Raw genomic sequence first — 13344 nt, 5'->3', positions numbered from 1 at the left:
GGATTCTCCACAGTCCTCAAGATAAAACCCATACTCTACAGCACAGTATCCACATAACTTCACAATCTACAGATGGTTCCCCAACTCATGACAGTTCCACTTAACAATTGTTTGACTTTTTGATGGATTTATCAGGGTATTAAATGCATTTTTCTTTTCTTTTTGTTTTTAAATTTTTTGTTTTTTTAAAGGCTAGTCAGGTGAAGCAGTGGGAGTGGAGAAGGAACAAAGACATCTGTAACTGGTTGTGATCAATTCGTTGTAAAAATCATTCTACTCGGACCAGCCTTAAATGCACTTCTGACTTAAATTTTTCGTTTCCAATGGGTTTATTGGGATGGAAGTTCATGTAACTCGAGGAACATTTGTAGATTCTTCTTACCTCTCTAGCTTTGCCCCAGGGCCATCCAGAACTACCTGAAGTTCCTCCATGTGCTCTGCCCTCTCCCACCCTTGGTGCCTTTTCACAGACTGCTCTCCCTCTGCTGGAATCAAGACTCCAGGCACTGCCACCTTCAGTTCCAACCCCTGCTGGTGCAGCTCCCTCTCATTCTTCAGTTAGCTCTGACACCATCCTCGCCTGGATGCCTTCTTTGACCTCATCGGTCTGGATGAGGGGCCACTGCTCTGTGAGACCCTGACAACCCGTGCTTATCATAGTGTAGTCATTGTTTCTCCTACTCCACAGTGAGCTACATGAGGGCAGGTTTTCCAGAGGCTAGCACAGAGCTTGACACATAATAGGTGCTCAACAAATGTTTGATGAATGAATGAATGAATGAAAGCACAATATAAGGGGGAGAAAAAAAGAAGAGCAGAAGGATGGGCTTTCTAGAGCCACCATCCGGCCCTTTTCTCCAAACCAGAGCTGTCATTCTCTGGCTCAAACTGCTAGCGGCATCTTCTGTCACTGACTTTTCCGGTTTGCTACAGAGGACATCAACAATGTGAAGGATGGAGAGACTCCAGTTTAATACCAAAAATATGATCTCTCCAGCCTCGGTGGTATAGTAGGTTGGGACAGCTCCTCTCTGCCTCACAATCTTGGCTGAGGACATCACATGACAATAAACTGTTGGGAGAATATACCTGCAGATTAAATGAAATGCTACCAGACACTAATGGATAATAAGGAAGAGAAAGCGGCTGGGAAGCAGTAGAGGATAGTTACTGAAAGCACACTTGAGAGCCAAACTACTTGTGAATGCTTCATCTCTGCCTCTTACTAGCTGTATGTCTTCAGGCAAGTTACTTATCATCTGTAACCCCTCATGGGGCTGTTGTGAGGATGGGGTAATTCTACTTCCTAGGAGAGCACGTGGCCCAAATGTAAGCTATTATTATCAACATAGGTGTGGGCTCAGGTCCAGCAGGGCAATGGACAGAGGCAGCGGGTGAGATGGGTCCAGGGTCCTAAATATCTGGACCTTTAGGAAATTCCATCTCACCTGCTCCAGTCCGGAGTAGCAGACACTGAGCCTTGGAGTTCCTAAGACAGCTTTAAGAGAATATTCAACCTTGGAGGATCAAGAAAATAAAACTTACTTTCAGCATAGGAGCTAAAAAGGAGGGACAAAGTGGCTGAACAAAAAGGGAAGAGTAGGCCGGGTGCGGTGGCTCACGCCTATAATCTCAGCACTATGGGACGCTGAGGTGGGTGGATCACCTGAGGTCAGGAGTTTGAGACCAGCCTGGCCAACATGGTGAAACCCTGTCTCTACTAAAAATACAAAAAAAAAAAAAAAAAATTAGCTGGGTATGTGGCAGATGCCTGTAATCCCAGCTACTTGGGAGGCTGAGGCAGGAGAATCACTTGAACTCGGGAGGCGGAGGTTGCAGTGAACCAAGATTGCGCCATTGCACTCTAGCCTGGGCGCCAAGAGTGAGACTCTGTTTCAAAAAAAAAGGGACTGGGGGAAGAGTAGAACAGCAGGATGCAATGCTTATTATGAAGCTGAACAGGATCCTTCACCCTCTTACCTTCATGCAGCTTTATTGATTTATTGATTCTTCACCTGTCAGAGCCTCATCTACCAGCAACTTAACCAATCCCTCCCCAACCCCATACACCCTCGCCTACAAACAGCTTGATCAAAGTCTGTGAGCCAGGAGCAGGAACCACAGTGGCAAGGGGGTGGGAATATGCTGTCAAAACAGGTTAGTCAACAAAAGTTCAAGGTTTCCACCAGCAATAGCAAGCTGGTGCTTAAAACCTCAACACAAATGCCCAAACCACGTAAGAGCTTCTCCTTTTCTCTTGGAATGAGGGAGATGCCTCCTACGTGTGACATAAATACTGTTTTCCCCTGACCAACAGAAGAACACGGGGGCAAAGGACAAATAGTCAGGATAATTAACACAGCTCACGTTAATTAGGTTATCTTTTTTCCTTTTTATAATTGTCTCCTTTATTTCAGCTCTCTTCCACTTACTCATATAGTCAAGAGCACTGCCAATTGAGTCAGCTTATTTATTAATTCTCTTTTACATTTATTTTTATTTATTATATATATATTTTTTTTTGAGAAGAAGTCTCGCTCTGTCGCCCAGGCTGGAGTGCAGTGGTGCGATCTCGGTTCACTACAACCTCTGCCTCCCGGGTTCAAGTGATTCTCCTGGCTAATTTTTGTATTTTTGGTAGAGAACTCCTGACCTTGTGATCCGCCCGCCTCAGTTTCCCAAAGTGCTGGGATTACAGGCGTGGGCCACCGTGCCCAGCCTACATTTATTTTTTACTTTTTTTTTTTTTTAAAGTTAGCCAGAGATATAGGCACATGCCACCATGCCTGTAATCCCAGCACTTTGAGAGGCCAAAGTGGGAGGATCATTTGAGCCAGGAGTTTGAGACCAGCCTGGGCAACATAATGAGACCGTCTCCATCTCAAATTTTTTAAAAATTAGCTAGGCATGGTAGTGCACACCTGTAGTCCCAGCTGGAGCCCAGGAGTTCAAGGCTGGAGTGAGCTACAATCACATTACTACACTTCAGCCTGGACAACAGAGTGAGACCCTGTCTCTGGAAAGAAAAAAAAAAAAAAAAAAAAAAATATATATATATATATATATATGTATTTAAAGTAAAAATTATTAATGTATTAATGCTGGGTTTGTCACCATAAAGATAAAATTCCATTAAAAGAAACTTCACAGATGTCCAAATGATGTTCCTATATTAGAATATTTTTTAGCTACACATAGAAGCTCACACTTATATTCCCAGATACTCAGGAGGATAAGGTGAGGATCAGCCTGAGCAACACAGCAAGAACCTGTCTCTTTTTTTTTTTTTTGAGATGGAGTCTTGCTTTGCTGCCAGGGTGCAGTACAGTGGCATGATCTCGGCTCACTGCAACCTCTGCCTCCCAGGTTCAAGTGATTCACCTGCCTCAGCCTGCTGAGTAGCTGGGATTACAGGCGTGCACCACCATGCCCAGCTAATTTTTGTATTTTTACTAGAGACGGGGTTTAACTATGTTGGTCAGGCTGGTCTTGAACTCCTGACCTCGTGATTTGCCTGCTTCAGCCTCCCAAAGTGCTGGGGTTACAGGCGTGAGCCACTGTGCCCGGTGAACCTGTCTCTTAAAAAAAAAAATTAGCTATGCCTGGTGGTACACAATTACTCAGGAGGCTGAGGTGGGAAGACTGCTTGAACCCACAAATTCTATGATTGCACCACTGCACTCCAGCCTGGGGGACAAAGCAAGGCCCTGTCCCTAACAAAAAAAAAAAAAAAAGAGTATTTTTTTAAAAGTTCATATTTCTAGTGGCCAGGTATGGGTGCAGTAGCACAATCTCGGTTCACTGCAACCTCCACCTCCTGGGTTCATGCAATTCTTGTGCCTCAGCCTCCAGAGTAGCTGGAATTACAGGCACACACCACTACACCTGGCTAATTTTTAAAATATTTTTAGTAGAGACGGTGATGTGGTTTGGCTCTGTGTCCCCGCCTAAATCTCATCTTGTAAGTCCCATAATTCCCATGTGCTGTGGGAGGGACCTAGTGGGACATAATTGAATCATGGGGGCCAGTCTCTGCTGTGCTGTTCTCATAATAGTGAATAAGTCTCACAAGATCTGATGGTTTTAAAAACAGGAGTTTCCCTGCACAAGCTCTCTCTTTGCCTGCCACCATCCATGTGAGATGTGACTTGCTCCTCCTTGCCTTCCACCATGTTTGTGAGGCCTACCCAGGTATGTGGAAATGTAAGTCCATTAAACCTCTTTTTCTTCCCAGTCTTGGGTATGCCTTTATCAACAGCATGAAAACGGACTAATACAATGGGGTTTCACCATGTTGGCCAGGCTGGAGTGTACCTTTCTCCATAATCACTTGGCAAGTAGAGTGAACTTTAAATATAGTATGGGGAAGCGCCTTGCAAAGCAGATGAAGTAGAATAACTTTTCAAAGGCTTTTCCTATATTGTGTCTCATTTTCATAACATCCCTTTGAGGATAAGGGAGGTACTAATATTAGAGATCATATGGCTTGCCCAGAGGCACACAGTAAACCACTAGCAGAGGAAGATCAGAACTCTGGTCTTTTGATTCCTAATTCAGTGTTGATTCTATTTTTCCCCAAGGACTGATACATCTACAAAATTCTGAAAGACAAGGAGTGAGAGAAATTCAAATGATGAACAGCAGATGCATGGGAAGGTCTGACTTGGGTCCCACCCAGACTCCAAGGGCCCTGAAGGGAACCTTACCACGTGGCTCCCATTCATAAGCTTCTGTGGTCAGAGCCTGGAGAATGCCATGGTTCTTCAACTCTGAGATCTGTAGAGGCAGCTGACCTTTAGCTTGAGGATAGAATCCACATACCCCCATATACACAAACGCTTCCCACCCACTGTACTGAATGTCCTTGACACTGGAGGCCAAAAGGACCTAGTGTGCCCTGATGGGTTGACTGAAGTCAGTTTTATTTTCTTTTACTTTTTATTTATTTATTTTTTGAGACGGAGTCTCACTCTGTTGCCCAGGCGGGAGTGCAGTGGCCTGATCTTGGCTCACTGCAACCTCCACCTCCTGGGCTCAAGTGATCCTCCTACTTCAGCCTCCCAAGTAGCTGAGACTACAGGTGTGCATCACCACACCCAGCTAGTTTTGTATTTTTAGTACAGATGGAGTTTCACTGTGTTGGCCAGGCTGGTCTTGAACTCCTGACCTCAAGTGATCCGCCTGCCTCAGCCTCCCAAAGTGCTGGGATTACAGGCATGAGCCACTTACTGGCCTTGAAGTCCATTTTAAATTGAGGTACCTGGAAAACTTTAACTATGATGTGGAACTTGGGTGATGTTGGGGACAAGTGTATGTCCACCTTGAATGTAAATAAACAAAAATTCATACACTCATTTCAGACTGTGGTGTGCCTTTGGTATTCTCTCTGCGTTTTATAGCCTGCTTCATTATGGCAATTATCTTATTAAATAGAAGTTGTTTTGTATGTTTGTGTTCCATACACCCTCCCCTCACTCCCCTCAAGTGTGAGCTCTTGGAAGCTAAGGTCTATGCCACCCTTGTGTCCCCAGCGTCTACCACAGTTCTGGCACCACACAGTAACACACAACAAAAGCCCTGGCAGAAGGTACCAAGTTGTGGGTGATACATACAGGGATTCCTCTGAAAGCCAGAACACTCTTGTCCTTGTCATATGATGGAGAATATCCAGCAGACAATCTTTCACCCTGTAAAACAGACAAGGGTCAATCTCCTAGGCACATATTAATCCCCCAAAGATAATAGTTTAAATGTCATACTTTTTTTTTTTTTAACTTTTAAGTTCAGGGGTACATGTGCAGGTTTGTTACATAGGGAAACTTGGGTCACAGGGGTTTGTTGTACATGTTATTTCATCAGCCAGGTATTTGACCTAGTACCCACTAGTTATTTTTCCTGATCCTCTCCCTCCTCCCACCCTCCACTTTTTCTTTTTTTTTTTTGAGACGGAGTCTCACTCTGTCACCCAGGCTGGAGTACAGTGGCACGATCTCGGCTCACTGCAAGCTCCACCTCCCAGGTTCACGCCATTCTCCTGCCTCAGCCTTCCGAGTAGCTGGGACTACAGGCGCCTGCCACCAGGCCCGACTAATTTTTTTTGTATTTTTAGTAGAGACGGGGTTTCACCGTGTTAGCCAGGATGGTCTCGATCTCCTGACCTCATGATCCACCCGCCTCGGCCTCCCAAAGTGCTGAGATTACAGGCGTGAGCCACCGGGCCCGGCCAACCCTCCACTTTCCAATAGGCCCCAGTGTGTGTTGTTCCCTTCTATGTGTCCATGTGTTCTCATCACTTAGCTCCCACTTATAAGTGAGGATATGTGGTATTTGGATTTCTGCTCTGTGTTAGTTTGCTAAAGATAATGGCCTCCAGCTCCATCCATGTCCCTGCAAAGGTAAATGTTGCAACTTTTCCCAGTACCACAAAAAAAGGATGAACTCTGGAGATACCAACCATAATGAATACTGTAAAGGAAAACTTCTGTTTAATCTGGTCCTAGGAAAAACTGCAAAAAGCTTAATTAATGTTATCTCAAAAATTTTATACCGATTTCCTGGCTCTTTGAAAGTCTGAGGGTTCTGAGTGAGCGAAGTTTAGTGAAGCAGTTTCCTATGGCCTTTCTGCTCAGCCAAACCTATCCCCTGCTACAGATGAAAAACAAAAAACCGACCAAAATACTCGGCCAATTGTTTGTAACTCATTTCACAGATACAGAGCTAATTTTTCAACGTGTTCTTTTAAAATCCTAAAAATCACCAGGTGTGGTGGCTCACAGCTACAATCCCAGCACTTTGGGAAGCTGAGGCAGGAGGATTGCTTGAGCCCAGGAGTTCGAGAGCAGCCTGGGCAACATGCGGAGACCCTGTCTCTACTGTTTAAAAAATAAAAAATCATCATTTCTATAGTTTGTTACTAGAGAAGTTTCTCTGAACATATAGAGCACCAAGAAGTATCATGTATCTAAAAAAACCATATGGCACCATTGAAAAGAAGCCCAGAATATTCCCAGATGATACAATTCTGGAGAATGGAGAAGTAATTCTACCAGTGAAAGAATTTCCTGATCAACATCATTAAAGATTATGTAAAAATGTAAAGGGCTTATGAGCCTAAGTTTGTTCCTATGTTACCATATTCACTGAATTTTCTGGAAAAGTAACTTTAATAAAGTTTAATCTCAGAGAAAAAAAAAATCATTAAGGCAAAAAAGAAAAACCAGCCGGGTGTGGTAGCCCACGCCTGTAATCCCAGCACTTTGGGAGACCAAGGCAGGAGGATCTCTTGAGGTCAGGAGTTCAAGACTAGCCTGGCCAACATGGTGAAACCCAATGTCTACTAAAAAGTACAAAAATTAGCCGGATGTAGTGGCACATGCCTGTAATCTCAGCTACTCAGGTGGCTGAGGCACGAGAATGGCTTCAACCTGGGAGGTGGAAGTTGCAGCGAGCTGAGATTACGCCACCGCACTCCAGCCTGGGCAACAGAGTGAGACTCCATCTCAAAAAAAAAAAAGAAAAACCAACCCAGTGGAAACATTAGAAAAAGGATATAGATGGTTTACACAAAAGGTAACTGAAATGGTGGCTTTTTTTTTTTTTTTTTTTTGAGATGGAGTTTTGCTCTTGTTGCCCAGGCTGGAGTGCAATGGTGCAATCTCGGCTCACCTCAACCTATGCCTCCCAGGTTCAAGTGATTCTCCTGCCTCAGACTCCTGAGTAGCTGGGATTACAGGCATGCGCCACCACGCCCTGCTAATTTTTAGTAGAGTATTTTTAGTAGAGACGGGGTTTCTCCATGTGGGTTTTTTTGAGATAGAGTCTCGCGCTGTTGCCCCACTTGGGGCATAGTGGCACGATCATGGCTCACTCACTTCTTGGCTCAAGGGATTCTCCCACCTCAGCATTCCAAGCAGCTGGGACCACAGGTGCACACCACCATGCCCATGTAGCCATGGGGTCTACATATGGTTGCCCAGGCTGGTCTCAAATTCCTGGGCTCAAGCCACCTTGACATCCCAAAGTGCTGGGATTACAGACACGAGCCATCCTGCACAATCACAAATTGGTTTTAAACATATGAACAAATGTTCAACCTCACTCATTAAAACAAAACAAAACAAAAAAAAGCAAAACAGAAAAACGTCACCAGGCACCGTGGCTCACACCTGTAATCTCAGCACTTTGGGAGGCTGTGGTGGGTGGATCACCTGAGGTCTGGAGTTCAAGACCAGCCTGGCCAACATGGTGAAACCCTGTTTCTACTAAAAATACAAAAAAGTATTTTTTTTGTATTTTTAGCACACCGGGCGTGGTGGTGCACACCTGTGATCCCAGCTACTCGAAAGGCTGAGGCAGGAGAATCATTTGAACCTGGGAGGCGGAGGGTGCAGTGAGCCGAGATCGCGTCATTGCACTCCAGCCTGGGCAACAGAGCAAGACTCCATCTCAAAAAAAAAAAAAAAAAAAAGAGTCATGTAAAACTACTGTGTTTCATTAGTCAGATTATCAAAGATCAAAAAGTCTGATAACATGTACATTGGCCAGAGTGCATAACACACTGGAGAGTAAACTGTTACCACCTCTACAGCTTGATAGTACCTAATGAAATCATACATGTTTTGTACATGCGGGGCCTGATACTGCATTCTAGTAATTTATCTAACAGATATATTCATCCATGTGCAAAACCGACATGTTTACATTTATAGTGTGATTCTTTGTCATACTGTTTATAATAGGGAAAGGCTGGAAAAACCTAAATGTTCATTAATGGGCTGATTTACATAAATAAAAGCACATTCACTCAGTGAGATACTATATGGCCATAAAGACAAATGAGAAAGTGCTTTACTTTACAGGCAATATGGGACAATTTCCGTGATGTATTAAGTGAAAAAGCAAAGGACAGAGTCTATACACTATTTTACCATTTTATTTTTTAAAAGTACATAAGCACATTTGCTTGTCTCTGCAGAGACCATTTTCACAGTTATACCCAAGGAAGCAGTAGCTTTGTCTCCAGCAGAAAAACTGAGTGGCTGGGGGGACAAGGGTGGAAGGTGGTTTCTTCACAATACATATATCGTTCTGTACTTTTTGCATTTTGAACCATGTGAATGTATTATGCCAAGGCCCTGGAATCCCAGATCATCCTGTTACTCTAATCCTTCTGCTTTTTTTTTTTGCCTTTCCAACTAATGCTCATTAAACACAACTTTCATTTCTTCATGTTCCAGATGCAAGGATGGAGGCCAAAACACCTCACAGCTGACCAAGCTCCCTGGTAAAGGAGCTCATGATGGCTAAGCATTTATTTCCCACTGTAATGCAATCAACACACCTGCTGCAGATCCCTCTCCTCACTTCCATCCCTTTGTTCATGTAGTTTTCCTCCAGAATACACCTCCACTCTCTTCTCTGATCAAGGTCAGTTCCACCTACTCAAGGCAACCTACCTTACTAGCTGGGGCTACAATGCTGTCTCACACCTCTAAGTCCAGTAACCCTTGTATGCAGCAAAAGTTCCTCTGCAAAAGGCCTGCATAAGGACCTTCTCTTATATTTCTTTTTTCATTTTTTTTTTTTTTTTTTTTGGAGACAGAGTCTCACTTGGTCACCCAGGCTGGAGTGCAATGGTGTGATCCCAGCTCACTGCAACCTCCGCCTCCTGGGTTCAAGCGATTCTCTTGCCTCAGCTTCCTGAGTAGCTGGGATTACAGGCATGCACCACCATGCCCAGATAATTTTGTATTTTTAGTAAAGACAGGGTTTCATCATGTTAGCCAGGCTGGTCTCCAACTCCCGACCTCAAGTGATCTGCCCACCTCAGCCTCCCAAAGTGTTGGGATTACAGGCGTGAGCCACTGCCTCCAGGCTCTTATATTTCTTTTATATGTTTCACAACCATTGGCACAGTACTAAGCACAAAATATATTTCTCAAATTTTTGTTGAAATTTTATCTCTAAAATATTTGGTGATTCATTGTGCTGAACAACTTCCTGCAGGCATCTGTGTACCTGAGATTCATTTCATCCTTCCTTTCCTTCTCCAATTCAGTCCCCTCCAGTGTCCAAAGACTTCCCTCTTTGGAACAGTTCGCATATTACTACAGTGAAGAAAATCTTTCTGGAGACCCAAAGCAAAGGCTTTGTCCCAGTCTGGCCACTGAATCCCACAGCCTCCATTTAAGACCATTTTTGGGTGGGCAAAGTAGTGTGAAAGGTAAGGCATGTAGGGTTAGCTGCCCGGCTCATACAAAGACATATCACATTGAACTGAGTCCTGAGGATGATCAGGCCAAAGCAAGCGTTTCACAGGGAAGAGGCTAGTAAGGTAATGATCCAAATCAATGAAATACAGATTTCTTGGGTGATTCCTCAATGAAATTCTCCCCACTACCCAAGCAAAAAGAAAACAAAAATCTCATAACTCACTTACAAAACAAGCTATTAGGAAAAGCAATTGACCCTGAGGTGAATAGAAGCTCCTTCTTACAGAACAAAGAGAACTATAATGAGGGTTTCTAAATTTTTCCAAATATTCTCTTAATATATTCTTACTATACTTAATGATATATCTCAAACCAACACCACCTTTCCCAAATAAGAGTGCATGCTTACCTGTCCATCTCTTAATTCTTCTTTACTATGGAAAGAGCAAGATTTTTCATTCATGACTCAAAATCATTTGTTCATGTGAGCTTTGTCCTTGGGCCCAGAAAGCATTTTAGTAAGGTCTGAGATCAGAAGCTATGTGGAGAGCCAGAGATCCAGTTGCTCTACCTTTGCCTTCCTTGGCAGTCACTCAGACTAAGAGTAAGAAAACAGTCCCTTTGTGCCATCCGAGGGTGTAGGAGGTTTCTGTGAGTGCTGAGAGAAGTCCTCTGAGGTCTTCGAAGCCTCAGCTCTGCACAAAAGAAAAAAAAGAAATTGAAAAAGAAAACTGGTTTCACCATTCAGTTATGCCTCTGTTGACAATTTTTTTTTTTTTTTGAGTTGGAGTCTTGCCCTGTTGCCCAGGCTGGAGTGCAGCCGTGCGATCTCGGCTCACTGCAACCTCCGCCTCCCGGGTTCAAGCGATTCTCCTGTCCCAGTCTCCCGAGTAGCTGGAATTACAGGCGTGCGCCACCACACCCTGCTAATTTTTGTATTTTTAGTAGAGATGGGGTTTCACTATGTTGGTTAGGCTGGTCTTGAACTCCTGACCTCGTGATCCGCCTGCCTCGGCCTTCCAAAGTGCTGGGATTACAGGCATGAGCCAACACGCTCGGCCTGTTGACAAAATTTAAGCAGCTGTGAATTTATTCTGAATGAACAACTTGCCTCAGCCAAATGCTTACCTCTTACTACCCAAGCCACAGGATGGCCAAAAGGGGACCACACAGGGGACTGTGAGCTGGATTCTGTGTCCAAAAGGCAGCAGCACCACTAGAAGGGATGGGGTCTGTTTCTGACAATGGAGTTACTGGGACCTGGGCCAGCTTATCAAAGGCGTGAGGCTAAAGGTGTCACCTTGGTGGGTGGTCTTAGCTGAAGTGCTCAGGCTTTGTTTAGGCCTCACACACAGGCTGGGTCAGGGGCTTATAATACTAGACCTGGTTCCAACAATGGTAGAAATTCAAAATGCAACACGATGTTCTAACCTTTCTCAGTTATCAGCAATACTGTGCATGTGGCAGCTGGCTAGCCAGTTTGGGCAATTCTAAGTCTTTCATCTGACATTGCTTCCCTCAGGAAAAGGGCTGGACAAGGCTCATACCTCATCACAGGGGAATTGGACATCCGGAATGTCTGTCACATCAAAAATTGCATCCTAAGTGGGCAGATGGCCCACACACAACTGACAATCATAGTTCACAACTTTGGGTGACTAAGGAAGGAGGGTAGCCTCTCTATGAGGTCAGCCCTCCAGGATGCCATAAAAACTGGCTGCTGGTGTCAGGATGCTTTGATTATTAACACTGAGAGGAAGAATACCTCCTGGCTCTTGGGCTTGACATGTGGCTCACTGTAATCCGGGGGACAGGGCAATGCCCCCTTAGTCCTGGCACCCCAGGAACTAAACTGCTCTCACTGTGGCCTCTGGGGCCTCAACATCTGCCTCCCCTTTCCTTTTCCTCCATCATGGCCTCCATGACAGCCTATGACAAAACACACATTGGCCAGCCTTGGCAAGGTGACAGGCGGGTATGGTAATAGCAATCTCAGGAGGGCTCTTCTGTTGCTGTGTAGAAAATGAACCAAGTAGCATAGAATCGTGACCAGCTTTCCACACCTGGCTGGAGCACTCCTGGGGCCTTCAGTAGGGACAGTTACTATCTGTAGCAGAGAAGAAAAGAGCAACAATTCCATTAAACAAGGAAGTACTCAAAGGCAAATTCCTGATAGTTGGACCTAAGGAAACGGCCTTCCTGTAAAAATGGATCCTTCTCCAATCAAGTATTCATTATGCACCCTCTTTAGGCAAGGAGGGGGTATGATTCTTCAACTGCTTGCTGGAGGTTAGATTCTCTGCATAGGAATTTAAATTAGATGGGCCCTTAGCTGATCCTTTCACCATGCTTGTCCATGGGCGGCTCCCCGTCCCCCAGGTTCCCCACGGATGGGGTGTCATTAGGGACCCGCCATAGAGGACTCCGTCCCAGGCGGGCCCCCAGGACAAAACTATGGGCCACTTTGAGGGGCACAGAGACAGACGCTCACCGGTTGTGATGCGCAGGTAACAGAGAGCTCAATTCATCATGACAACCAGTCAGACAGGGGCTGTGAGCAGCCTTTGGACAGAACTTTCGCATAGCCTGGAGGCGTAAGACGAGGAAAGCAATTTAACACCTCAAGGCAGCGAGTCCAGGGCAGAGCCAGGACCAGAACTCAGGACTCCTGTCTCCCAGTCGGGATTCTCTTTCAGTCTTACAACTCTCGGCCTTGTCTCGCCCCATAGTGATAATTTCCACCGGATCACATTCTCCCTCCCTCCTCAGGCCGGCTGCTAGCTCCGCACAGGCACCAACCACTCCCCTTGGCAAGTGTTAACGCGTTCTCACCGTTAAAAGAGCTTTCCAAACTTGGGGGTCCCGCCGCCTCGGCTAGGCCTCATCTGCTCATGCGCACAGCCGCTTCCGTGCCGGCTCCCCTGGCCCCGAGAACTACATTTCCCAGTAGGCAATGGAAACCCAAAAGAAGTACGGAGAGCCGGGAGGGTCAATCATCACCTGAGAGTTGGCTCTTCGCTGGCTGGCTGGTTAATCAGTGCTCAAAGCTGCCTCCGCCTCCTGACTGGAGAGCGAACTAGCCCGGGCGGAGCCACAGTCCTAGAGGCTGAGCGCAGTCGGAGCTGTCCCATTT

The 13344-nt window shown here is 45.3% G+C and overlaps 1 protein-coding gene across 29 annotated transcripts in view, besides 4 other annotated features; it reads right to left on the bottom strand.

Annotated features, from left to right (window-relative positions):
* ELMOD3 (ELMO domain containing 3) overlaps positions 1-13104 on the bottom strand; it is a 36980-nt gene extending 23876 nt beyond the window's left edge. For 4 of the 29 annotated variants that reach the window (NR_138132.2, NM_001329791.2, XM_047445965.1 and 1 more), the window contains exons 1-6: positions 13044-13104; positions 12703-12797; positions 11977-12318; positions 10621-10906; positions 5613-5687; positions 4707-4776 (exon numbers count right to left, since the gene is read on the bottom strand). Coding sequence is in view for 26 of the 29 variants with exons in the window: in NM_001329791.2 (NP_001316720.1) it covers positions 4707-4776; positions 5613-5687; positions 10621-10674 (199 nt within the window). In the remaining 3 variants the exon portion in view is untranslated. Of the gene's footprint in view, positions 1-4706; positions 4777-5612; positions 5688-10620; positions 12319-12702; positions 12798-13043 lie in introns of all 29 variants that reach the window. The other 25 variants (NR_138131.2, NM_001135023.2, XM_024453170.2 and 22 more) reach the window with 11 other exon arrangements.
* Positions 12342-12841: an enhancer, noted in NCBI's record as "H3K27ac hESC enhancer chr2:85582155-85582654 (GRCh37/hg19 assembly coordinates)". NCBI's record gives its function as "activates a minimal SCP1, AML or CMV promoter by ChIP-STARR-seq in naive H9 embryonic stem cells {active_cell/tissue: H9 hESC(naive)}" and the evidence as "EXISTENCE:reporter gene assay evidence [ECO:0000049][PMID:30033119]".
* Positions 12648-12707: an enhancer, noted in NCBI's record as "active region_16121". NCBI's record gives its function as "activates an Ori minimal core promoter by ATAC-STARR-seq in GM12878 lymphoblastoid cells {active_cell/tissue: GM12878}" and the evidence as "EXISTENCE:reporter gene assay evidence [ECO:0000049][PMID:35858748]".
* Positions 12842-13343: an enhancer, noted in NCBI's record as "H3K27ac hESC enhancer chr2:85581653-85582154 (GRCh37/hg19 assembly coordinates)". NCBI's record gives its function as "activates a minimal SCP1, AML or CMV promoter by ChIP-STARR-seq in naive H9 embryonic stem cells {active_cell/tissue: H9 hESC(naive)}" and the evidence as "EXISTENCE:reporter gene assay evidence [ECO:0000049][PMID:30033119]".
* Positions 12878-13277: an enhancer, noted in NCBI's record as "active region_16120". NCBI's record gives its function as "activates an Ori minimal core promoter by ATAC-STARR-seq in GM12878 lymphoblastoid cells {active_cell/tissue: GM12878}" and the evidence as "EXISTENCE:reporter gene assay evidence [ECO:0000049][PMID:35858748]".

This window comes from Homo sapiens, chromosome 2, assembly GCF_000001405.40.
Source record: "Homo sapiens chromosome 2, GRCh38.p14 Primary Assembly".
Lineage (NCBI taxonomy): Eukaryota > Metazoa > Chordata > Mammalia > Primates > Hominidae > Homo > Homo sapiens.
This window is presented reverse-complemented; position numbering and strand designations above follow the sequence as displayed.